Source organism: Homo sapiens, chromosome 14, assembly GCF_000001405.40.
Source record: "Homo sapiens chromosome 14, GRCh38.p14 Primary Assembly".
NCBI classification, from domain to species: domain Eukaryota; kingdom Metazoa; phylum Chordata; class Mammalia; order Primates; family Hominidae; genus Homo; species Homo sapiens.
Window position 1 is genome coordinate 79,843,143 of NC_000014.9, and position 26,774 is coordinate 79,869,916.

The window sequence follows — 26,774 nt, forward strand, 5'->3', positions numbered from 1 at the left end:
ATCTTGGCTAATGTGAATATAGGTCGGGTTTGGTTCCAAACCATTTCAACAAAGTGAATATTACAACAAAGCAAGTCACATGAATTTCTTGGTTTCCCAGTGCATATAAAAGTATGTTTATACCATACTGTGCTTTGTTATATGTGAAACAGCACTATATCTTTTAAAAAAATACTTTGATAAAAAATACTTTACTGCTAACAAAAATGCTAGTGATCAACAGTATTCAGCGAATGTTTTTGCTGGTAGAGGGTCCCGTCTTGATGTTGATGGCTGCTGACAGATCAGGATGTGGGTGCTGAAGGTTGGGATGGCTGTGGTAACTTCCTAAGACAAAAATGATGTTTGCTGCACTGACTGATTTTTCTTATCACAAAAGATTTCTCTGTAGCATGCAATGCTGTTTCATAGCATTTTAATCAGAGTACAACCTCTTTCAAAATTGGAGTCAGTCCTCTCAAACTGTGCCTCTATCAATTAAGTTTATGTGATATTAATATTTAAATATTTTGTCATTTCAGCAGTGTTCACAGCATCTTCACCAGGAGATTACTTCTTATGAAGTCATTTTACTAATCCATAAGAAGCAACTCCTTAACCATTAAAGTTTTTTAAGAAAAATTAATTTTAATAGTTTTGGGGTTATAGGTGGTTTTTGGTTGCATGGATAAGTTCTGTAGTGGTGATTCTGAGATTTTAGTGCACCCATCACCTGAGCAGTGTACATTGTACCCAATATATAGTCTTTTATCCCTTGCCCCCTCCCAACCTTCAAGTCCCCAAAGACCATTATATCATTCTTGTACCTTTGTGTCCTCATAGCTTATCTCCCACCTATAAGAGAGAGCATACAATATTTACTTTTCCATTCCTGAGTTACTTCACTTAGTATAAATGGCCTCGCACTCCATCCAAGTTGCTGCAAAAGACATTATTTTGTTCCCTTTTATGGCTGAATAGTATTCCATGGTGGATATATATACCACTATTAAAGTTTTATCATAACATTACAGCAATTCAGTCACATCTTCAGGTCTTACTTCTAATTATCTTGCTATTTCCACCATATCTTCAGTTACTTCCTCCACTGGTCTTAAACCCCTCAAAACTCTCCATGAGGTTTTGCATTAAACTTCCTCCCACCTCCTGCTAATGTTGATATTTTGACTTTTCTCATGAATCACAAATGTTCTTAATGGTATCTAGAATGGCGGATCCTTCTAACAATTTTTTCAATTTATTTTTCCCAGATCCATTAGAAGAATCACTATCTATGGCAGCTATTGCCTTACAAAACGTGTTTCTTAAGTAAGATGTTAAAGTCAAAATTGCTTTTTGATCCATGCACAGCAGAATGGATGTTGTGTTAGCAGGCACGAAAACAATGTTAGTCTCCTTGTATATCTCCATCAGAGCTCTTGGATGACCAGGTGCACTGTCAATGAACAGTACTATTTTGAAAGGAATCTTTTATTCCAAGCACTAGGTCTCAACAATGGACTTAAAATATTTAGTAAACCATGCTGTAAACAACTGTCATCTAGGCTTTGCTAGTCCACTTAAAGACTACAGGCATAGTACATTTAGCATAATTCTTAAGAACCCTAGGAATTTTGAAGTGGCAAATAAGTATTGACTTTAAGTCACCAGCTACATTAGCCCTTAACTAGAGAATCTGCCTGTTCTTTGAAGCTTTGAAGCCAAGCACTGACTCCTCTTCTCTAGCTGTGGAAGTCCTAGATGGCATCTTTTTCCAATATAAGACCATTTTGTCTACATTAAAAACCTGTTGTTTAGTGTAGCCACTTTGATCAGTTATCTTAGCTAGATTTTCTGGATAACCTGCTGCAGCTTCTACATTAGAACTCGCTGCTTCACTTTGTGCTTTTATATTATGAAGATGGCTTTTTTTTTTCTTAAACCTCATGAACCAACCCCTGGTAGCTTCCAACTTTACTTCTGTAGCTTCCTCACCTGCCTCAGCCTTCATAGAATTGAAGAGTTAGGGCCTTTCTCTGCATTAGGGTTTGGTTAACAGGAATGTTGTGGCTAGTTTGATCTATCTAGACCACTAAAATATTTTCCATATCAGCAATAAGGCTGTTTTACTTTCTTATCATTCGGGTATTTACTGGAACAACAATTTTAATCTCTTTCAAGAACTTTTCCTTTGCATTCACAACTCAGCCAACTGTTTGGCCCAAAAGGCCTAGTTTTTGGCCTATTTCAGCTTTCAACATGCCTTCCTCACTAAGCTCAATCATTTCTAGCTTTAAAGTGAGAGGTGGGTGACTCTTTCTTTCACTTGAACACTTAGAGGCCACTGCAGTGTTATTAATTTGTCTAATTTCTATATTGCTGTGTCTCAGGAAATAGGGAGATGGGGGTGGGGGGCTGGAGAGAGACAAGGATAGACAGAGAGAGAGAGAGACCGACCCAGAGAGACAGAGAGAGAGAGAGACAGAGAGAGAGACGGAGACGGGGAGAGAGACGGAGACGGGGAGAGAGACGGAGACGGGGAGAGAGACGGAGACGGGGAGAGAGACGGAGACGGGGAGAGAGACGGAGACGGGGAGAGAGAGGGAGACGGGGAGAGAGAGGGAGACGGGGAGAGAGAGGGAGACGGGGAGAGAGAGGGAGACGGGGAGAGAGAGGGAGACGGGGAGAGAGAGGGAGACGGGGAGAGAGAGGGAGACGGGGAGAGAGAGGGAGACGGGGAGAGAGAGAGATGGAGAGAGAGAGAGATGGAGAGAAAGACAGAGAGAGAGACGGAGACAGAGAGAGATGGAGACAGACAGAGACAGACAGGGAGAGAGATGGAGGAAGGGCAGGTTGGTGAAGAAGAACACAGACAATATTAAGTTCACTATCTTATGAGTGTGGTTCATGGCACCCCAAAATAGTTATAATAGTAACATCAAAGATCACAGATCACCATAACAGATACAGTAAGAAAAAAAGTAGAAATGTGAGAATTACCAAAATGTAACACAGAGTTGCAAAGTGAGCACAGGCAGGTAGAAAAATGGTGCCAACAGAGTTCCTGGATGCCGAGTTGCCAGAAACGTTCAATTTATTAAAAATGTATCTGTGAAGCACAGTAAAGCAAAGCACAATAAAACAAGATATACCTGTATTTGTTTTTAAATATAAAAATAATTTGCTTTAATGCTGAACAAAAATGTCCCATGTAAAAAATTCATGTGCTATCTGTTCCCAAACTCAGTTTCCACACCTAATTACAGTAAATAGAAAGGAGAGAAAAACCAAACTTTCAAGATGGAAAGGAGAACCCAGGACAGCCTCAAACCCAACACTTAGAATGGTATTTCTGCATGCCCAATCTACAGCAAACTTTCAGACTTAAGAAGGAAGAGAGAATGGATAAAACGTTACAGAAGACAGTATTACATTTTAAAAATTGGTAAGATAGTAGAATGTTTAGATCTGGAAGGACTTTAAATTAATCTTTTTTCCTTACATTCAGATAAGCTTTAATGTGTACTAAATTCTATCCCAAAATCTCTATTCTTTGTGACCCTACTGTACCCTACGCAGATTTTTGTTGACTCAATACTCCACTGCACTTAATTTGTTTTTTAGTCTCAGCTAGACCTGAAACAACTTTAGGAAAGGGATAGTGTCTTCTTGCTTACTTTTATTTTTCCTACCAACTAGAATACTAATAATCATTCAAATGTTTATTGAATGAATTAATGGATAAGCAAATGAATTAATATAATTAGTTGCTTATATTTTACCCCCCACACTAGCCTATAGCTTTAAAGTTGTGGTGACTACAATGTCTAGTCACTTAACCTCACAGGGCAGATTTGCTCAACTAATAAGATTTTGAATGAGAAAGTGCTTAAAAATTCTAAAAGTGCTTCTCTAATATTTGTTACTATTGTGTTCAAAGACTGTTAGCTACCAAATGAAGGTTTCATAGTCAACAGAGGAGGCTGAATCCCAGACAATTACAACTGAGGCCCGGGCTACTCCAAGTGTGATCTTTGGAGTATCTGACTCAGCAAACAAACAAGAATCACCTCAACCCAAAACCCTAACCCAAATAGCCATCATTACTACTTCCTTCCAATCTCCATCTCCACACCCTCCAATAATGATGAATTCTTAAAGCTTGAATACATGTTTTAATTGTAAATTTGGGTTATTTCTGCATGTAATTTTACAGTTATTTTATTTCACCCTTGTGAGTTGGAGTTAAGCTCTGAAAAGGTCTTATTTTGATGTCTTTCCATAAGATTGTATTCCTTTTTTGGCAAGAGAACAGATCTGGAGTTGAGCTCCTGCCCTCTACCAAACTGTGAAATTTGAGACAAGTCACTTGTCCCCCATGCCAACCCCTGGGGCCTCACTTTTCTTATTCAAAAAGATCAAAGATTTTGTCCTAACTCATGAAATCATGAGCATTACATGTAAAATTACCTTAGAAACTATAAAATATTCATTTCAAATGCATCAAGATGTTATTAGCTATATTTTATGAGCTCAGCACTCCTTGATGGTCCTGAAGAGACCAAAGGGGCTGAGGCCAAAGGGAGAATTCTCCTTAAATCTCTTGGAAACAATCTGACAGACCTTAGAATTGTGTAGTAAGATGAGGACATAAAGGAACAGAGGGTCAAGGTAGTATCTTAGCTCCTTTCTCCCAACGTGTTGATACTGGTTAAGATACACAAAAGGGAAAACCCACCTAAGAAACTGCCAGGAATTCTTTTTTTTTTTTTTCATTTTGTTTTAATGCTAACTTAATAATCATGTCTTAGTGTAACTAAGCTTTTCTTCATCAAGAACATTATAAGCTCATTGATGCACAGGCTAAATCTTTATGCTTATTTGGTGCTTTTTAATCTGTCTAGCACAGAATAGGGCACAACACAGGTCTTCAGTGTGCCTTTGCTGAATTGAAATACAAAAAAATAGCACATCTTTCAATACTTGAAGCTCATTTTTATAAAGTATATGTGTGTAGTAGGGAATTCTAAAAACTATTTTTTGCTGGTACTAGTTTATTTAATCAAGAGGAAATATCTTCATAAAGTCAAACAACCAGAAAGGACAGTGCAAATGGCCCTCAAAGCTTGAGCTTAGCAACTGCTCCCCTGTTCTTAGTCTTGCCACTGTGTGGAATTTAGGACTTCTATATGCAGATAGTTTGTTACTTGCAAACCATTAGACCAAGCTTGTCCTACCCACAGCACACAGGGCGCATGCAGCCCAGGACAGCTTTGAGTGTGGCCCAACACAAATTTGTAAACTTTCTTAAAACATTGAGTTTTTGCAATGTTTTTTGGTCTCATAAGCTATTGTTAGTGTTAGTGTTTTTTTATGTGTGGCCCAAGACAATTCTTCTTCCACTGTGGCCCAGGGAAGCCAAAAGATTGAACACCTCTGCATTAGACCCTTTTAATACTATTATAGGTAATATATTTTACAACATAAAAAAATCATCTGTGTACCAGTCAGAAATGAAGGTTTTGTATGAAACATTTTCATTCTTCAGTATCAACAGCCCAAGATTCTCCTGACTTTATTTCTCCAGCCCTGGCCCCTCACCTCACCATCTCTTAGCTGGCCCCAGATATGGCCCAGGTGTTTTAATCTTCTGGGTGATCTGATCCAGCCTCTTGACTTTAAATGGCATCTATATGATGATAATTTTCAGTTTAAGCCTCCCTTCAGAATTCCAGTTTCTCAAATCCATCTGGCTATTCAACCTTTCCACTTTGATATTTAAGAGACACTTTGGGTTCAGAAGAGCTAAAACAGAACTTTGGATTCCCCAAACTTGCATGTCCTCCAAATTTTCTCATCTCTTAAATTTGATTCAGGTGTACAAACTCCACATTTGTCATCATTCTTGGGCCCCTGTCCCAACTCTCTTCCCCACACCCAGTCAAGAAGTCCTGTTGACTCTGCCTCGATAACAAATTGCTCACACATTTCCTTTGCTCCAGCTACCCATGCTGTAGTGTAAGTCACCATCATTTCTTGCTTGAATTCTGCAACGGCTTCCCAATTGATCTCCCCAATTCTACTTTTGCTTCCCAAAAGTCCATTCTCCATACCGAAGCCAAAGTAATCTTTAAGAAGTATACATCTAAACAAAACACTTCTTCACAGCAAAGAAATCAATACAATGAAAAGGTAGCCCACAGGTTGAGGAAAACATATTTGCAAACCATATATCTAGTAAGGGGCTAACTTCCAAAATTTATAAACAACTCATACAGCTCAATAACAAGAAAACTTATAACCCGATTTTAAAAATAGACAAAGTAACCCGAATAGACATTCCTCTAAAGGAGACAAAAGTGGCCAACATGTATGTGAAAAGATGCTTAGCATAACTAATCACCAGGGACATGCCAATAAAAATCACCATGAGATATCACCTCATACATGGTAGGGTAGGTATTATCAAAAAGACAAGGGACAACATGTGTCGATGAGAGTGTGGAGAAAAGGGAACCGTTGTACACTGTGGGTGGGAATTTGGATTGGTCCAGCCATTACAGAAAACAGTATGGAAGTTCCTAAATTAAAAATGGAATTGCCATATAACCCAGCAATGCCTTTTCTGAGTATATACCCAAGGGAAAGGAAATTACCATCTTGTAGAGGTATCTGCACTCCATGTTCATTGCAGCATTACTGTACCGCATTATGAAATGGGTTCCTTCACCCCTTTTCTGAGCACCCTCCATGTCTACAGAAGAAGTTATGAGGAACAAAGGTATATGCAGGGCTCGTTTTGTAATGCTGACAACAGCAATCCTCACATCCAGACTTCCATGTCCATGTACAGGGTTCTCTACTTTCGTTCTAAGTCAAACTGTGATTCAGAAATGAGCCATCCATTCTCCCAGAATTCCTCCATTCACCCCACAGACACAAAAATCAAATCTATGAAAATGTTTTTGTATATTTCATAGGAGAAACAGATGTGGAGGCTTAACTCATGTATCCAATGCCAAAAGTCTTCAAAATCTTCATTAGGTATTTGTTATGCCAACTTCTTTCTCAGCCCTCCCGGTTTGTAACTTTTTAAATCTTTACCCAGTGTTGCACGAAGACTGTTGAGATGGTTCCCTCTGCCTTCCTCTCTCTAGTATTCTCCCTGGGAAGTTTAAAATATATAATGTTATGTAAAGTAACTCACTGGGGCCTTCCTCTTGGGCCTCACCTCTATACACTGAAGACAATGCTTTCTAGCAAGGAGGACCCATGCTTCCAGAGAGGAGGGTTTGCAACTGGAGTAACTTGAGTATGTCTTTGGGATTCTTGAGCTCAACCCAAAGCAGTTCAGAAACATTTCTTTGAAACAAGTTCCCAAGATGAATTCTAACAACTGTAATATCGCATTTGGCATTTTAAAAATTTTGATTTTACATTTAGACAGAGCTATTAGGACATGGTGGGATAAAAATGGTAGTATCGAAATATACTGTTTCAAATCAAATTATTGTATTATTTGTTCTCAATGACAGACATAACCCAAACACATTCTTAGTACCCAGAATAAAGGCACAGCCATGAAATCAGGCAGTTATTAATAAAAACCTAGTGTAGATAGCTAATGAAAGATGAAAATGAAGCTGTGACATGATTATGAACTGCTATTAGCAAGCAATGTCATTTTGTATCTTAGAGACCAAACAAGGTTTGTGTATGTGAACTAATGGTTGACTTATATGGTAAAGATATACATGCATTATATTCAGGCTATGTTGGCTTCATTTGAAACTACAGCTTCCATGGGTTTAAAAAATACACATATGATTTGCAAAGTGACAACCCTAAATTTTCGTATATTCAATTGTTCAAACCAGTGATTTCTAGAATGTAAGTGGTGTCCTACTTGTAAGAGTTTTAAAACAGGCAATTTTGGAATAGGTAAATTACTCAGTAGAAGCCTTAGAGAACCCAAATTGCTGATGTATCTTTTTCGAAATGCCTCTCATTATCCAGGAGAATGTGTGTATTGGAAGTATCTTATTCTTTAAGTCTCACACTTAGACCGGTTATGTTTCCTACTTTTAAAAATTGTAGAACTTTATTCTACAGATGTCATTTGATGCCTTTTGAGACCGACCATATATGCATTTATACAATCTTAATTCAATGTTAAAAGTATAATTAGTCCAAAAAAATCAACTAAATGGCAACAAGGGTTTTTCTTTTTCTATATTATTAATTTTTTTTTCCTCCATCTAAAACTTTCCAGCTGCTCTTTGTGAAGTTCCCAGAATAATGATTAACATTATTAAACCAGAGACTAAAAATCTTGGTACGGACTGACCCATGGGGACACATTGCTATAATTATTTTAAAGTAAAATAATAAAAGGGGCGTCCCATAGCGGGCAAAAGTTGGACTCATCCTCAAAATTTACTCTATTTGTCAAAGTCCCCTAAAAGAGTTCTTAGGAGTGGTTGGAATTGGTTGTCAGAACCAGGTGCTCTCAAGTGTCTTGCCTTTGTGGTTCGCCTACCTGGGTTTCCCAGTCCTTGGTTGAACATTAATGTTCTCAACGAGATATAATACTGAATATAACTCTTGTGATCTCTTCCAGTGGAGGCTGAGGCCATTTCTAAAAATTCCTTCCCTCTGTTTCTTCTACAGTATCTTCCTCTCCGTGTGCATACATGTGAGAGGCATAGTTTTCCCCAACGTACTTCAGATAAACCTTATTGGCATAGTTTTCCTCAAAGCACTTCCAATAAACTTTATTCCTTTCATGATTGTCCTGTAGTTTACAGACACTGATATTGTACTCTTTGGAGTGGAGAGGGGTTTTGCCATTCTTACAAAAAAAAAATTGGCTATTCCTCCATTTATCAGGCTCATTTTATTAACATTCTACTGTCATCATTGTGCTCTGTCACTTTGACTAAGCCCAAGAACCCTCCCACAGAGCAATGTTAATTATAACCCCTCTATGCCCGTAAAATATGCCATCTAAAGGCTTTGAATAAATTTGGGATAAATTTCCTGAAGCAGAACTCATGAACCCATATGTATTTTGATTCCAATTCCTGTCAATACAGGTTCTAGTTCAACTCCCAACACACACACACACACACACACACACACACACACACACACACACACCTCTCACATGCTTTCCTTCTAATTGGCAAGAAGCCTTCAGATGTCCTTCACCCCTACTGGAAAGGCATGAAACAAAACCCAGTACCTTCCTCCTACCCCTAAACTGGTTTTGTCTTGCTGCCCCTAATCCTAGCTTGCTGTTCTGTTTTTCTATTTTCCCCTAAATGCAACTTACTTTAAGCATGTGTTAACTGGATTAACATTCCTACAATTGAAGGATAGTATATGATAACCCATTTGTCAGTCTAGCTACTTTCTTCTCTTTTAAATGTCTACTTACGACGTACATCCAGACTGCACGCCCTTTTTATTTTTTCAAAGCAAAGCCAAAAAATAAAGAAAACGTAAAATTAGTTTTTAAAGAAAATGCACAATCTGTTTTTAATTTTGGCTATCACGAAAAGGGGAATTAACCAGCCAAAAAAGCAAAGCAAAAAAAACGTGTCCCCTGACTGCTCTGTCTGTGCCTTTCAAGCCTGTGCGTCTGGTTGTTCATCTCTGAAAGTGTGTGAAATACTTTTTTCTTTAAACTTTTTGTTTTTTTCTCCCTTCTTGTTTGGGAATTAAGTGCTTTTTATATTATATATATCTATATATATATATCAATGTGTTTCTTTTAATTGCTAGATCTTTATCTTAGATTTGATTTTATCTAAAATTATGAGAAAAAAAGTTATGAATTGTTTTCTGCAGTTTTTCCCCACTCCCTCTTTAAATGTGGAACAACTTCAGCTGCAGAATCCTCACATCCACATCTTTCAAATTAGCCTGGTCTCATTGCCAATTGCGTGCAACATGGGTGGCATAAGGAAGATGGATGATGTCGTTTGGAAAATGCCATTTCTCTATAGAGAAGTAATTAGCAACCCAGTGCGTGGGCCCCCTGCTTAGTAGTGCGTCTCAATCACCTCTGTAGATTTCTGAACCTCCCCCACTCTAGATGGGGCTGTGTGGCTGCCGATGAAGTTGTTCAACTTGAATGCATAAATCTAGTCTTCTTGTTTTTGCTTTAAACTTTTTGATCATGACTACTAGTATTTTATGTATTTTGGCTATTTTTAGTAGGAAAAAGTTTAACTGTTTTTATTATTTGAAAATCTTTAATGAAACTGTAATAATTTTTGGAGTAATTGCATGTTGAAGAAGTTGCAGCTTAGGGTGTGTGAGATTGTCAGTGTTAGAGTTCTGTTCTTTATTTCCATAGATGGGCATGTGTAGGCTCATTTGTTTTTGTATATTGCCCATCCCTTCCTTACAGCCAGAAGCTCTAATGCAGCTAGATCACTCCGTGCCGCCCTTACATGGACATGGCGACTCACTTACACATTTACTCCTATCATCTTCATCTCCTGTGTAGTTCACTCATAGATATGACCCTCCCCTTCCTGCATCTTTCCTTCCCATTCTCCCCCTTTCTTTAGCATTGTTAAAATTTATGTGCTGTCATCCATCTCCCTAAATTAAAGAAAGCCTAAAATTTGTCAAAAAGACAAAAAAATATATATATCTGAAAACTTATAAATGCAGAAATTCATTCAAAACCCGTTAGAGTCATAGAATTTTTTGAAAGGCAAATTATAAAAGTAAACAGGTTTTTTTGTTTGGTTTTTCAATCATAGCAATCGGAATTATTTTAAATTCAAAAATTGATGCCCTCCCAAACCCCCCAAAGTAAAAATTTGTTAAAGTGCAGATTTTTTTTTTCTTTTTATGTTATGTGGTGTGGATGTATGTGTTGTTGCCTCCCTGTATCATCCTCTGTTGTAAATTATTATATTTGAAAAATTAGACATTTTGCTCAAAAGTTTTTAAGAAATGACAACAAAAAAAGCAAGTTACAAGAATGTGGCAATTCTATTTGTCCAAGAGCATTCTTACACAACTTTCTTTTGTAAATTTTTCTTTCATGCCAAAAAACATGCGGGCAATTTGTTGATGTAAGTTGACTATAAATTAATATGGTATGCTTTTTTAGTTTAAATTATTTTGCCTATATGGAAATGATTTCTTTTTTTCCCAGAACAGCTTCTATTTTTAATTTGCTTTTACTTTTTCTTTCCATTCTTATTATATTGTGAATGCCTCAATGTTATTTGCTCTCCTTCTCCCAGCTTACTTTGGCTACGAAGTTGATTTTATTTTCTACTATATAATTTTGAAGACTATATTTTTTATTTCATTTGTGTCGATTTGCTGAATTTTCACTGTTATGTTTTGTGCTGAATTGCTTCTAATAATCAATGTGAATTCTACTCTCAGTAGAAGGGGGTTAATACATTGTTCTTACCACCCAAAGAAAGCCTGGCCTCTTTGCCTGAACTTTTTCACCACCGTGTTTAAAGCCTTGAAAGTATTGGTAGGCTCTATTTGGTATCTTAAAATTGTTTCCAGCCAGTGGGAGGCCTGTACCCTAGAAGAAAATGAGTTGAGTTAGCTCCAAGTAGTACCAGTGGTATTTGCATCTTTTTAAAATTCCTTAAAAAGCATTTAGGAAATTAGTTCTTTTCCTTCAGCAAAGGGGAAATAAGGTACTCTCAAGTGACTATGGTAGAGTTTGGTTATCCAGGATCATACTCTCACTTTTGCTTCAGGCTACAAAATCAATTATACTGAAAATGCAGATATCAAGAATCCCAGGTGTTTCGAGTATTGTTCTATGATACTGACGCCTTCCAGTGTATGGAACTAACAACTGGCAAAAACACAGACACACACAGAAGGCACACACACATTCTCTCTCTCCCTCTTTCCTTTGTCTCTTCTCCTTTTCCCTTTTTCATTTCTCTCAAGGATTTAATCAGGTAAGCTTTCAGGGATCTTAAGATTCTACCAAGAAAACATGATGATTTTCATATCTAAAGTTATACTTAGAAAATATTTCAGGTGGGTACCATCATCGTGTAACTACAGGGTAAGACTATTCCTTCACCTTAAGATTATTTGAACCAATGCTGCCTTATGTACTTCAACATACATAAGATTGGTAAGAAGCACTATATAATTTTTTCATCAAGAAGTTACTTGTTTTGCTTTACAGATATTTGTGTTATTTGAACTGTTATAGAAATATCAAACTGAATGGTGGATAAGAGTGTTTCCAAGCCAGCAGCTTAATATTTGGGCTCTCTCTACCTCAGTTTATGCGATTTTGTGTTGTTTGACATGCTGGATAATATTTTAGGTCTAAAACTTAGAACTTCCTAAATGGGATGTTGTTTTATCTTGATGCATTAAAATATTTTCTTTCTATGAAAAAGATATCCAAAGGTAAATTTAATAAAATGTTATTTTTAAAAAATACAAGCTATTTGAATTATAAATTATTTCTTATATTCTATTATTTAAAATAGCCTCAATATATAATTATACTTCTACTTTAGCATGAAGCCACTAAATAAAAAAGGGTTAGAAGAAAGTGATTATGTAAGTGTTTATAGCTCAGATACATTAGTAGAAATAATAACATTAGTAACTAGCATTTCTGAATAGTAGTAGGTACTGTGTTAACCATCTAACATATAAAAAATACTTGATATGCATTATTTTAATATTTGCATTGATGGTTTGAGGTAGGGTATTTTATTATTCTCATTTTCCAGAGTTTAAGAAATTTGACCAAATTCCTAGCACTAGTAGGAACTCCTAGAGAGTTCCGATGTTAAGAGTCTGAGTTACTTCAGAAGCAAAGCTCTTAATAAGCAAATGAAACACTCCACTTGACATTTCCTGTTTTGTAATACATAATGATATCAAGGGGCTGTGGCTCATCTTATTGTTGAAAAATATAATCTGTAGCCTTTCCAAATCAAACCTATTTCAGACAAACCCTTTGCTGGGGTGGAAGGGTGGTGGGGAAGCGAGGGAGAATGCCCTACCTAGAAATTCTCATCCTGTTAAAATACAAGTTAAGCCTCTTTGAGACACTTGAGTTTTTCTACTGTCTTCTCCCCAGGTACTTGCCCTGTTTGTCCATGACTATTTTTTCCCGAAGGTTGATAGAGAGCAATTTCATGGTTACAAGCTTTATGATATTTATGTGTTACAAATACACACTTCTATGTCACCAAAGAGCTAAATATCTTTGAAAAATTAATTCTTGGGGGGAAAAGAATTATTTCCCCTTATCATGTGAATTTTCAGGAAGAAATTTGGAATAATGCAAATAAGAGATGAAGTAAAATACCCAAATATATAAAAAGAATTCAAGGAATTCAAGCATGGTGTCCTGTCCCAGAGTCTCACTGTTCAGCATCACTGTTTTGGTATTTTCGTGAACTCTCAAAACCCAAATATCTCCAGAGAGGCAAGTGTTGAAACTTCATGCTTGTTTTTTTGTTCTTTTTTTTTTTTTTTCCAAAGATAACCCACTGCATTCACTATCACCCACAACATTCTCACAGTTCAGAAGAATTCTATTAAATTTTTTATACACTGTCTTTTTTGATGGCAGTGAGCCCCTTTTGCTGGATATCAGCCCTAGAGGCATGAATTATATATCTACAAATACACTCATAAAGCAAAAAAGCCGGGAAGCCTTCAGGGCTAAAATAGACCTTTTATATCTCTAATGATCTCTCTAGTTTAAAGAAAAGCACAATCCTGCCAAAAAGGGGTATGTATGCCTGATTTTAAAATGCTAACTTTAAAGAATATAGATAGCTTTTATCCCAAACTAAAGAAAAATTCTGGGGATAGCATAGGAAATTAGGATTTTGATGGATTACAGGTTTTGTATTACTCTGCTCATAACCCTTTATGACTTTGGGTTATTTGCTTCCATGAATACTTTTGTAGGCATGGGACACATAGTTGATCACTGACTTCATGATCTCTGGGAAGTGAAGAAAATATTATCAGCTACTTGAACATTTCTCAGGGTAGTCACTTTTGATTAAAATAAACAAGAAGCTTTGAATAGCTTCCCACCAAACTACTTTTTTGTTTGTTTGTTTGCTTTTTGAGACAGAGTCTCGCTCTGTCGCCCAGGCTGGAGTGCAGTGGCGTGATCTCGGCTCACTGCAAGCTCTGCCTCCCAGGTTCACGCCATTCTCCTGCCTCAGCCTCCCCAGTAGCTGGGACTACAGGTGCCAGCCACTATGCCTGGCTAATTTTTTTGTATTTTTAGTAGAGATGGGGTTTCACCGTGTTAGCCAGGATGGTTTCGATCTCCTGACCTCATGATCCGCCTGCCTCGGCCTCCCAAAGTGCTGGGATTACAGGCGTGAGCCACCGTGCCTGGCCAAACTAAGTTATTTCTATTAATGATCTTATAGTAGGAGAAATACATCACTTTCTCCTCTCAAATGATGTGTGCCTTTGATCCCCCAGGACACTATTATCATCTGCAATCTTAAACATGGAATTTAATATTAAAATTAATTACACCAACATATACACTTGTCCCAGGCATTTTTCATGTTTACAGTTATCTAAAATGTTCTACCTATTTTCATTAGAATTGCTATTTGTCATAAGGACCCCCGTGTACTGCAGTTGACTTCATTTTAAACTAAAGGCAATCTTCCCACTTCTTGAGAAGCCAGGAAAGAGGGGTTAGGAAAGCTTCTACCACTTTGTTGTCTAAAAATCAGCATAATTTGGGCTCAGATTTTCCCAACAGAGGGTATCATTTATCATTTTTATCGCTGCTACCGAGATTAATAACAAAATGGCAAAGAAAACTAGAGATCAGTAGTTCTGAAAGATTTTGTTTTCTAAACTCTGAGATGGCATACCCATCATTTTAGTTTTAAAATAAGCTCTTATCATTTCACTTTGGGACTCACCAGGCTTTTAGAAGCTCTTTATAAATTAACAAGCTTCAGAACCCTCTTACTGTAGAGTTATAAAAAATGTGGTTACTCTTTTTTTTTTTTTTTTAAATCTAAGATACTTGCATTAGTGTGTTAAATGAGAGGGAGATAGCAAAGTAAAGTAATTCAACTGCAGAGTGAACAGTTTGTAGATTTTGAAACAACAAGTACACTGTGGAAACTTTAGCTGGTATTGAAAGGAGAAAAAACAAACCGAAAAAACAAAAAGGCAAATTTAAGACTCCGGTTGGGTGTCACAGATGGTACACTAAAATTGCAAATGAATGCCACTCTGTAATCATGAAGATGGTGATCTTAATCCCACTTAAAGGGACACTAGCCTCTTACCCAACAGTTTGCCTTTATATTCAAACTATTTGTACCAGGGCTTTGCCTCCTAAGATATCAGTTATTCCTTGTCCTTTAACCTAGTTTCCTCTTTGCTTACTCTACATGGGGTAGATTTGTCATTGCCATAAGGAACAAATGACTCGGTGTTTGTGCCAGAAAAGAACACACATGTTAAACCTGTGTTACAGATAAGTTAAAAAAAAAAATCCTGCCTTGTCCTCTGAAGGTAAGTAAAACTGTGCCTGAGAAATCCTTACGGAAGCTTTAGACAGAGTCCATGGGCCTTCACTTCCTCTCTCTCATCACTGCTCTCCTATTACTCAAACCTTGCCCTCTTTCATATATCACCTTAAATCTACCACTTGGGACCCCCTAGCAGAAGAATAATAAAAAAGTTTGCTCAGAGTTAGTTTTAGGACTGGCTTACCTTTAGGGAACTGCACTCCAAATCCCATTTGTAAAAACTAGCAAAAGTGTGTAAATTATGCATTAAATAAGTTGTAAGGCATATGAATTATATATGTTCACAATGTAAAAAAAAGAAAAAAAAAAAAAACAGGTGTCTGCTGGTCTAGTACAGTAAGTGTGAATCTTTGGCAAATCTGCACAGATCATTTTGCTCAATAGTTTCAAACTCTGAGCACCAGAATAGAGGCTTAGGTTTAGAGCACATACTACAAGATCATCTTGAGAATCTCAAAAAGGTATTTTTTTAAATTTCATAGTAAAATTATCACATAGGCCAGAGATGACACTGCAACATTCTGTTGTCCCTTCCCTTCTAAATGGTACACATTATATGCTTTCTCGGTTCCCTCAGAAACTCAGTTTCTTTCTGCAGAACACAATTGTTATTGGCTAAACAGGGAGAGAATAAAGGCTTCTGACATGGGCACCAACAGTTTCTCAGTGCTTGAAGGTAGGTATTAGCTTTCTTCTCAGGAAGCCCTTCTCTTAGCACACCTGAAACCTGGACAATTTGGATGCATGGGAAAGGTTTCAGGATGCAAGGTGTGGAAAGGTTGCATCTTGAAGCATTTCCTATGCATTCAAAAGGAGAGTTTTAATTTGTGAATCAATCTTCATAGGAAAAACCCTGGAAGACTGTGTAGGCTCCAAGGCTTATTCACTTGGAGTCCCCTAGAACTCTGGTACTGAATCACCTCCTTGTCTGGCTTTGTTACTGATGAGGTGGGTACCTCAGCTACAGTCTTATCTGTTAACAGCTACTCAAACACTGATTATACTATCACAGCAAAGTTATTACCAAGTGTAAGAGACACACGTACGTGGTACCAGTTGACAGCTCAATGGGTCAGCTCAGAAAGAGGCCTTCAACAATAACGTCACATTAGTACCTCAACCTTCTAAATAACTGGGGCAGGGAAACATTCGCAGCATCCCTGCGAGTGGATTTTTTTTAAGTGATAGTGGGAATACATTTTTCTGGAATATATTCAATAAAGAGACATGGACTATGACTTCTTAAGATTCTTCCTTTGCTTGGAAAACAACATTATAAAGACACTGAAGAGAGATCAGTTATCCTGCTGACATAGATGCATAGCAATCTTGGCCTTACAGTAGGGTAAGCAACCACTACTGCAGAATATTTGTGGTACCCATGATCTGCAAGGCCCTGTTATTTAATGAACTATTCTGAGCTTTCTTTCCCAACTTAGTCTGTATGATTCTAAGTGCAATAACGAGGGTCTATGGGTAAACAGATATGTTTTTGCCACACTAGTTAGCAATCACCAATTTAAAAAACTCACTTTGCTAAGTCAACATTTCTGAGTCTAACAGTTTCAAGTCATGGATATCTAGGCTGAGTATTTTGAAAATCTAGCTTCCAGCTCAGCATATATTGCATACAGCATGAAAGCAATGCATACAAATATTAGACTAATGCAAGGCAAGCTGTCATTTAATAGTCAGGGGGATTTCTGGAAAAGCATGGTCAAAATGGATTTGTTAGATGAATATTTTTAACTTTTTAAAAATCCCTATTGCTCAGCTTATAGTAAACAAGGACTGTGATTAATAAGTGTGAAATAAAAGGAAGTAACTTAAGAAAACACAAAAGACACAATCTTTTATGTTTCTTGATCTTGGTCTCAATAAGATGGTGAATCGGTCATTCTCATCCTCCTGGGAGCAAATGAGCAGAATCCCAAGAAGGCAATAAAGAAATCTTAAACGCATGTTAATAAATTCTTAAGTTAAGCACACAATGTGTGCGTGTACCCACACATGCCAATTTTGATAGCCAGCCAGTATTTATAACAGTATCATTGACTGAATGTCATCAGCCCATAAGCAGATCCTGGAAAGAACATATATAGTTGAATTTTATCTAAATAATTACTTGAGAGTATCTTTAAAAAATCTAAGCCCCTGATCTAGGGATTTCAGGTTTGGGTGGCAAGAGGCATACAGAAGGCTCCAAATCTGCCTAGAATGATTAGACTCCATCCAGAAAAGATCCAGATCTTTTTATTATAATTTCTGAGGCATAATCTGTGAATGACGTTGGTTGAGTGAGAGTTGTTTACAAATATACTAATTGTTTTTCTTTTTCTTTTCCATCCCAGGAGGTGAATTAGTTATCCCTCTTCTTGTAGAAGACCCTTTAGCTACCCCTCCTATTGCTACTCGTGCACCTTCCATTACACTCCCCCCTACCTTTCGCCCCCTCCTCACCATTATTGAGACCACCAAAGATTCCCTGTCCATGACCTCTGAGGCGGGGTTACCTTGCTTGTCGGACCAAGGCAGCGATGGTTGTGATGATGATGGCTTGGTGATATCTGGGTATGGCTCAGGGGAAACCTTTGACTCTAACCTGCCCCCTACTGATGATGAAGATTTTTACACCACCTTCTCCTTGGTAACAGATAAGAGTCTTTCCACTTCAATCTTCGAAGGTGGCTACAAAGCACATGCGCCCAAGTGGGAATCCAAGGACTTTAGACCTAACAAAGTCTCCGAAACTAGTAGGACTACTACCACATCTTTATCCCCTGAGCTGATCCGCTTCACAGCTTCCTCCTCGTCTGGGATGGTGCCCAAATTGCCAGCTGGCAAAATGAATAACCGTGATCTCAAACCCCAGCCTGATATAGTCTTGCTTCCGTTGCCCACTGCCTATGAGCTAGACAGCACCAAACTGAAGAGCCCACTAATTACTTCCCCCATGTTCCGTAATGTGCCCACAGCAAACCCCACGGAGCCGGGAATCAGACGGGTTCCGGGGGCCTCAGAGGTGATCCGGGAGTCGAGCAGCACAACAGGGATGGTCGTCGGCATTGTGGCTGCTGCCGCCCTCTGCATCTTGATCCTCCTGTACGCCATGTACAAGTACAGGAACAGGGACGAGGGGTCCTATCAAGTGGACGAGACGCGGAACTACATCAGCAACTCCGCCCAGAGCAACGGCACGCTCATGAAGGAGAAGCAGCAGAGCTCGAAGAGCGGCCACAAGAAACAGAAAAACAAGGACAGGGAGTATTACGTGTAAACATGCGAACACTGCTCACACGCGAGTTTTCACAGTTATTTCTATCCACGCCTATGAATCTTTGGACGGTGAGATCTCACAGATGTCAGAACTGCTGGAACTATGAAATGGGGTATATAACCACGACTCTGGTGGGGAAAACCGTTTTTTAAAGGACACACACACACACAGCGATGCATCTCTCTCTAAAGCTCAGCCACGGCTGCGGCAAGGTCCCAGCGGTCGCTGGGAGACAGAAGGTTTTGTGCCCTGCTGTATCATAAAGCACACACTTAGCGCTCTGGAGCCGGACGGTGGCTCCACCACTTCCGCAGGCCTGGAAACTTCCTTCTCCGGAGGACCTTTTACTAAAAGGTAGAAGACTTCATGGCTTACTTGTTCCATAACTCCAAGTGAGTCTGTAATGTTTGTGAAGCTTGACTGTAACCATGTTTTTTCTGTTTAATTATGTAAAAAACAAAACTACAACAACAAAAAAAGAAAAAAGTTAAAAAAGAAAAAAACACCAAAAAACAAAAACAAACAAAAAAAAAAACCCACAACCCTTATCTGGTTCTGACCAGTGTGCGTGTAACTTTATGATCTGAGGGGAAAAATGGCTTTTGGGTTTTTGTTTATTTTTTTGATAATGACTGGACATCAGAAGAGGAAAAAAACTCAAAACAAAAGCGAGAGAGACTATTGCCATATGAACTCAAAAGCTATCATGGTGTTCACTCTACATATCAGGTTATGGTGTCTCTAGAATCTGTTGTTTGTTTCCTATAAGATGCTTTGCTGAACACATAGCAAAATTCATGTGACGGATGATAAATTGATTCGAAAAGCTGGTCCCCCAGGATCTAATTTCAGAATTTACCACCCAAACCCGGAACAGATGGGTTTAGGGCTGGTGTTATCAGAGCTATTGGCTTTACGTAACAATATTGTTCCTGTCCATTCACCCAGCCAAATTGTGTTAAAGAGGAAAGCCCCACAAACTAAAACAGCCTTTCCTAGGGAAGAGGAAGGGGAGGTGGGCTGGATCTGTGACTGATTGAAATGCATGCAAATAAAAAAGACAATATTAAAGTCTGTTATCAAACCAGACAGTAGGGGAGTTCAACTCGTGATGGAACCACAAAAGGTCACACAAGCCAACCATGTCATGCCAGAGTACAAAACACATAGTTCTTTCCCCGCCCCGAATGTGACAATGGTTTTCATAGTGGTTTAATTTTGTAGCCTGACATTTATGGATAACTCTGTCCTTCCATTTGCTCACTTCTCTCTTCACCCATCTTTTTTAAAAACAAATAAATGAATAAAGCTGCTGTGACACACACACAAAAGGAATTTAATAGTATAATATATATATAAATAAATATATATACAGATATATTTATCATGGTATGTTTGATGGGATGACTGACACAGGAAATCTGTTAAAGTCTTAAAATGGAATGAGAATGTTGTTTTAAAAGAAAATAGCAAAACAACAAAAAAGCAAACCTTAAAATGTGAAGAAAGTGTGAATTTTAGTTTTGTCACAGTTAACTGTGTCAAAGAGAATTAAAAAAAAAAACTTCAGATTTTGTTTACATATTTTACTACATTTTTGCTGGTATAATTCCTTAGCCACCTATGTACATACTGCTTTAAGAAATGTTTTTTTCCTGTTTATTTCTGTTTGGTTTATATTCTGGTTGTCTTTTTCTTTTTGTAAAGAGGAAACAATGTACAGAAAAACAATAAACTGGTTGTATGGCCATAGCTATCCGAAAAGCAAGAGACAAAGCAAGACAAATATTCACACAAAAATGAAGTGTGTCCTCTGGAGGGTCAGATATACAATTTCTTTTGTACAGATGAAAATCAATCAGCTGCTTAGATTTAGAAATCTACTCTTGCTGGTCTTTGTAAGTTGCATGAATATTTGACTTTGAAAAAATATCTTAACGACATGGGGCAAAAAGTGCAATCTAAATGGTAGCCTTTACTAATGTGTGTGGAAAGAGGTGTTCCTCATTATCTAATATTTCAATGTGTTAAGAGTTTAATTTTTTTGTTATCATTAAAAAAGACAGGATTATAAAGAGATATCAAAGCACGATTTTAGATAACCTAAACGGCCCAGCCTATACGAAGTTGATTATATCTCGATGTCTGTAAAAGATTGCTGTTCTTGGAGTCTTGAGGTCTTGTGAATTGATTTCCTGCTTTCTTTCATTTTTTTCAATTTAAGTAATAATACATTTGTTATATTCCTTTCAGTGTAAGTTTCTATTTGGACAATTTTATGGGAACATGTGCATTCTCTATGTGAGCTTCTATCATATTCCTGTTTTATTAGCAGAACCTAAAGGAATTTATTTAATGATGTTGTGACATTACTGCTTTTTCTTTTTTCTTTTCTTAGTTCATATTTGCATTTTCGTTCAAGGATATGCTTAGCAATAAAATGTTCTTCCCAAAACCTTGTATGCTGATGCACTTTTATTTTCTTAACATTTGAGAAAATCTCGCACTGAAGCTAATTATGTCATATCTTATTAAAAGCCGAGTAAGAGCTAGACCACTTTCATGTGATAGAAGATATTCTAAGCAGTTACTAATTATTACATTATCAAAATGCCATATTTATGAGATAATTATCTGTTACTTGAGGCATTATTTTTTAGATTGCTATGATAGAATAACCAGGAGGGAGTGCATTTTTCTGGAAAGATGATAGAAACATTGTATTCTAGAAAAGATTATTGGATACTATGGTTTTGTTTGTTTGTTTTTGTTTTTTGTTTTTCGTTTTTTGTTTGTTTTTTTTTTGAGACAGAGTCTCGCTCTGTCGCCCGGGCTGGAGTGCAGTGGCACGATCTCGGCTCACTGCAAGCTCCGCCTCCCGGGTTCACACCATTCTCCTGCCTCAGCCCCCCGAGTAGGTGGGACTACAGGTGCCCGCCACCACGCCCGGCTAATTTTTTGTATTTTTCGTAGAGACGGGGTTTCACCGTGTTAGCCGGGATGGTCTCGATCTCCTGACCTCGTAATCCACCCGCCTCGGCCTCCCAAAGTGCTGGGATTACAGGCGTGAGCCACCGCGCCCGGCTTGGATACTATGTTTTTTAAAGGCATTTCGTACCTTTTACGTATTTTCTATAAGTCAACAAGCTTTAAACAGTATTTAAAACTATGTTCACATAGTGCCATAAGCACTAGAAAGTCTTAGATGTCTTCTTTCCAAGCCTCCCACCATATTAAAATTTAAAATTAAAAAACAGAATCCAAAACCAAAATTTAAATGAGTTCTTCAATTTTAACAGCTTCTTACAAGAATTTCTGATTACAACTTGTTTCATACACCCATTGTAGCAGTAATGTCTCATATTTCTCGTTCTCTCAGCACACACTTACTTGGCCAATTGGATAATCCATCTACCCTTTGTTCTTCACTGTAATCTAGAAATATAGATTTAACTGAACAGCTGTCCTTTATCCATATGTTGGTTACCAGTTTTCAAAGAGTTAGAATTTTAAAAATATATATTTAGTTAAGCCTGTGCCTTCAAGATAACATTAGTGGAGTGGTTATACTATCGACTATGTTAGGAATGGGGGGGAGAAAGTCAGGTTCAGTGATGTCAAATTATGTAAAGTTTTTTTTTTGTTCCTGTCTTCAAAGTTCTGTATTAGATGTTCTCCCATCATTTTTTGAGATGGAGTCTTGCAGCCTACAGTGCAGTGGCATGATATTGGCTCACTGCAACCTCTGCCTCTCAACCTCAAACGATTCTCCTGCCTCAGCCTCCTGAGTAGCTGCGACTACAGGCATGGGCCACCACACCCAGCTCATTTTTTAATTTATTTTTTATTTTTTTAGTAAGGAAGGGTTTCACCATGTTGGCAAGGCTGGTCTCGAACTCCTTACTTCAAGTGATCCACCCACCTTGGCCTTGCAAAATGCTGGGATTATAGGTGTGAGCCACTCCTCCTGAAATCTTTCTAAATCTCACTAATATATAATTCTAGGACTACTTTAAGCATTCACTTTTTCTTTAATTCAAGAAACATTTATTGAACACTTATGTACAAGCTAGTCTACTATTGGCTATTGTTACTTTGTTTCAATGAAGGCAGAAAATGGCTAGAAGGATTTTAAGCCTTTTTGTCTCTTGTATAAATCTATACAGGTCCAGTCTCTCTTTGCTCATATTCAAATTGAAGTTTGATCTTTCTCCAAAAAATATCCAAGCCCTGTGTTTGTCCCAGTTGAACTAATATCTTGATTATATAGTTTAAGATCAGTTTGATAATGTCTATTGAATATTTACTAAATGATTATGGGATATTAAATTGAGAGCCTTGGGAGCTTATCATCTAGTAAAGATGAACAAAAAATGGTACTATAGTGAATGCAAATAAGCTATCAAAAAGTACAAACTAAGTTGGGAGCTTAGAAGAAATTATGTAAGGGAAGGCTTCATAGAAGGGGTGACATTTTGGTAAACCTTGGAAAACTGATAGGCAGAAATAAGGGCTGTATATCATTCTAAGCAAACCCTTAAAGTGGGAGCAAGCAGGATCAAAACCATAATTTGGATTGATGACAGACTGCAAAAAGTACATTGGAGGAAGATATGAGTAGGAAGGTTTTTGAAATCATGTCAATGAATGGGAAGAGAGAAATGGGAGAATAGCTTGAGAAGTTCAAGGTCAAGGGCTGCTTTGTCGAGTACAAAGGACTCGAGCATATTTGAAATGAAAGGTAATAACTGATCTACTCTTATGGAGCAACCGAGTTTCCTGATAGAGATGTTTATCTGGGGGAAAAAGGCATAAGTCAATCTTCTTGGAGAGAATGGGATCAGAAACTGACATATTGCTACAGAGGTTACAAAAGCTGTAGTCAGAGGGCTTCAGTGTTCTGGATATATTAAAGGACAAGGTCAGATACCCAAGTGGGACCGTGAGTGATTAATGGCAGCAGTCCACTGACAGCACCAGTAGGAAGGCGCTAATGAAAAGATCTCTAAATATCAGTAAGGGGTTAGCTGCCATTAATAATACAACTTTATAGCTTTACTATTTTTTCTTTTATTGTTGAAATAGTGAGGGCACGTATTTTTCTAATTGTGTTTATTACAAAGAAAACAGACCCGAAGAACTTAAATGACTTCTCCAAGGTCACACAGCTAATACATGACAATGTCATGACTTAAAATCCAGTCTTGTGGTTCCAAATTTAGAGCTCTTTCATAAACCTGTCTCTAGAGAAGCAAGTCATTTTCTACTTTTTCCAGAAGCATTTGAAGTGGAAGCTAAGGCAGGAAATGAGAGGATATTGTGTTAGTCTACTGGGATTACCCTGGCAAAATACCACAGGCTGGGTAGACAACTGAAATGTATTTCTCAGTTCCAGAAACAAAGTTGCAGATCAAAGTTTGTTAGGGCTCAGTTTCTGGGAAGGGCTCTCTTCCTGGCTTGTAGATAATAAGCTACCTTCTCACTATGTACTCACAGGGCCTTTCTTCTGTTCATGCACTGAGAGATTTCTTTTTCTTGCTCTTCTTATAAGACCACCAGTGCTATTGGTTAAAGCCCTGCCATTATGACTTTGTTTGACCTTAATTACTTCCTAAAGACACTACCTCCCAATACAGTCATGTTTGGGGTTGGGACTTCAACATATGAATGTTGGAGGGGATATGGTTCTGTTTCTAGCAAATGTATAGTAGTGGGAATTGCAAAGGTTGAAGTTCCAAAGTATCAAGGGAATCAGAATTGGGAAGCAATTCTAACCTTTTTGAAGTGGTTACATGGCCCAAGTAGAAGAGCAAATAATTCCAAGAGACACCAAGCCACAGAGCAGGTAGGATCACGTGAGTAGGGCCCAGGATAGAAGAGCAGTGTTAGGGTTGCATGAGAGTGAGGGCATATAAGACAACAACAGCTAAAAGCAATGCATGCTCAGATCTTGGGAGATGTATTAAATGAGTAGAGTGAATTTCAAGATATCTGAGTTTTTTTTTTTTAATGATTACATGGGTTCTAGAGTCAAAATGCCATGGCTCATCTGGTACTGTAACTTAAGATAAACTGCTTAGCTAAGGCTCAGCTTTCATACCTATAATTTTGTTATACTTATCTTGCAGGTTTCTTGAGAAATATTGGATGAAATAATTCATGTGAAATGCTTAACATATGTGTGACAAATAATTATCCTTAAATAAATGTTGGTCGTTATTACAATTGGCTTTGTTACTTGATTCAGGCAGGATCAAAATTAGCTGCTATATGCATGACTAACCAGGACCAAAAAGTTAATAAAAATACGAAAGTTTGGCACTCTTAGTTTTTCTCTAATTCTTTCATTTGCCAAGACAATATAAAATTTAGTTGCTAGCTCATTAGCAAAGATTTTCCTTCATCAGCACTAGTTATTTGTTTCCAGCTACCAGCTTCAGTTAGGCCCAGGGAAGCCCTGCATCCCGAGAATGTCACTCCTTTTCTGAGTTTCCATCCTTCAGCTTTCTTGTGGCCCTTGGTCAGCCAAATACCTCAGGCAACCTTGCACCCCTTTATTGATATGCATTATTTTGTTTTTAACTTTTTATTGTGAACGTTTTACAAATATACCCCAAAGAGAATGGCGCAACAAACCCCCATTTATCCATCACTTGGTTTCAAGATCAATATTTTGTTACCCTTGTTTTATCTGTGCCCACCTCCCTATGAAAGAATATCTTGTAATATTACACAAAGTTATAAAACAAAAAGCATTCAAAGAGTTGCTGCTGGGCCTCTCGACCTGAGTCTTATTTAGTGTTTCAGTGTACCTAAGCCTAACGTTCTTTCTGATGGACAATTAATGGCATGATTCTAGTTCTTTATTCAGTGACAACCTAAAAGAGATTAGCTGCTAAGTAGACTCTTCATCATTTAATGAGATTGCCTGAAAAAGTGAAAGATGTTTCAGCTTGTACGTATTTCAATTCAACTGTGCTCAATCACCTTTTAAAATGAATAAAAAGCGGTCTATAGATTATATATTGCTGCTATATCTTTTGTAAAATGTGCCATTGTGGAAGAGAATCTGTACTCTTTCAAGAGAGTAAGTAAAAGGGGAGACTTCTAATTTGTACATGTGAAAGCTAAGAAATACCTTTACCTCTAAAAACATGATCACAGATCTACTAGCATATTTTAAGAGGGTTATATTCATGTATTTTCAATAGCTGTAACTATACTGAATTTACATGAGTCTACACAGAAGAGATATCCTTAAGCACATTTTCAAGTTATGATTTTTTACTGCTCCATTGTCTTTTGACAATGATTTTCTTCTTTGTTCTCACTCACTTGCCATTTTTGACCTAGAATTTTCACTATAAAAATATCATGAGAGAGAGACTCAGAGACACAGAGTTATAGACTATTTGATAGTACATTCTTTTCTACCATAAAGTCAAGGTAAGTGTTAGGATGAATGGACAGAACCACTATAAACTTTTGCTTCTTCATTTCATGGAGCCAAATGGAACATAGAATAATTAGTTTCAACAAGTTAATGATTTTTCTGTTCCTACTCTGCATTTGGTAGTTTGATATTTTATTTATTTTGGAAATTTAGCAGAGCATATATAAACATTCTTAAGGCAGGTCCTTTAGGTTTGCAAAAGAGTACAGTAGACAGGCTGATGGGTGGGGGTCAGAAAGTAGATAAAAACAGAGGCATCATTAAAACTGAATAGCTAAAACTTCCTTGGCATTACAGTATAGTTTTCAATGTTCATATACCACGCAGGAAAATGTACTTATATGCATGTATGGGTATGAGTAACCAGATCTGGTTTGATGTCAAATTTGATGTGGGAAGTCTAGGACAGTTCTTTCTTAAAAACCAAAGCAAGAAAGAAGAAAAGGTAGGGCAGGGGAAGAGAGCAGAGGCAGGAGAGCTGCTTCTAAGCAGTTTGTAA

General features: G+C 37.6%; 1 protein-coding gene across 54 annotated transcripts in view; it reads left to right on the top strand.

Annotated features, from left to right (window-relative positions):
• The window catches only part of NRXN3 (neurexin 3), a 1,697,919-nt gene extending 1,672,770 nt beyond the window's left edge, over nt 1-25,149 (top strand). For 16 of the 54 annotated variants that reach the window (XM_011537371.2, XM_011537372.2, XM_047431953.1 and 13 more), the window contains one exon: nt 18,521-25,149. In XM_011537371.2, the coding sequence (XP_011535673.1) occupies nt 18,521-18,822 (302 nt within the window). In that variant the 3' untranslated portion in view covers nt 18,823-25,149. Of the gene's footprint in view, nt 1-10,396; nt 11,076-17,896 lie in introns of those variants that run through there. The other 38 variants (XM_011537363.2, XM_005268218.4, XM_017021799.3 and 35 more) reach the window with 4 other exon arrangements.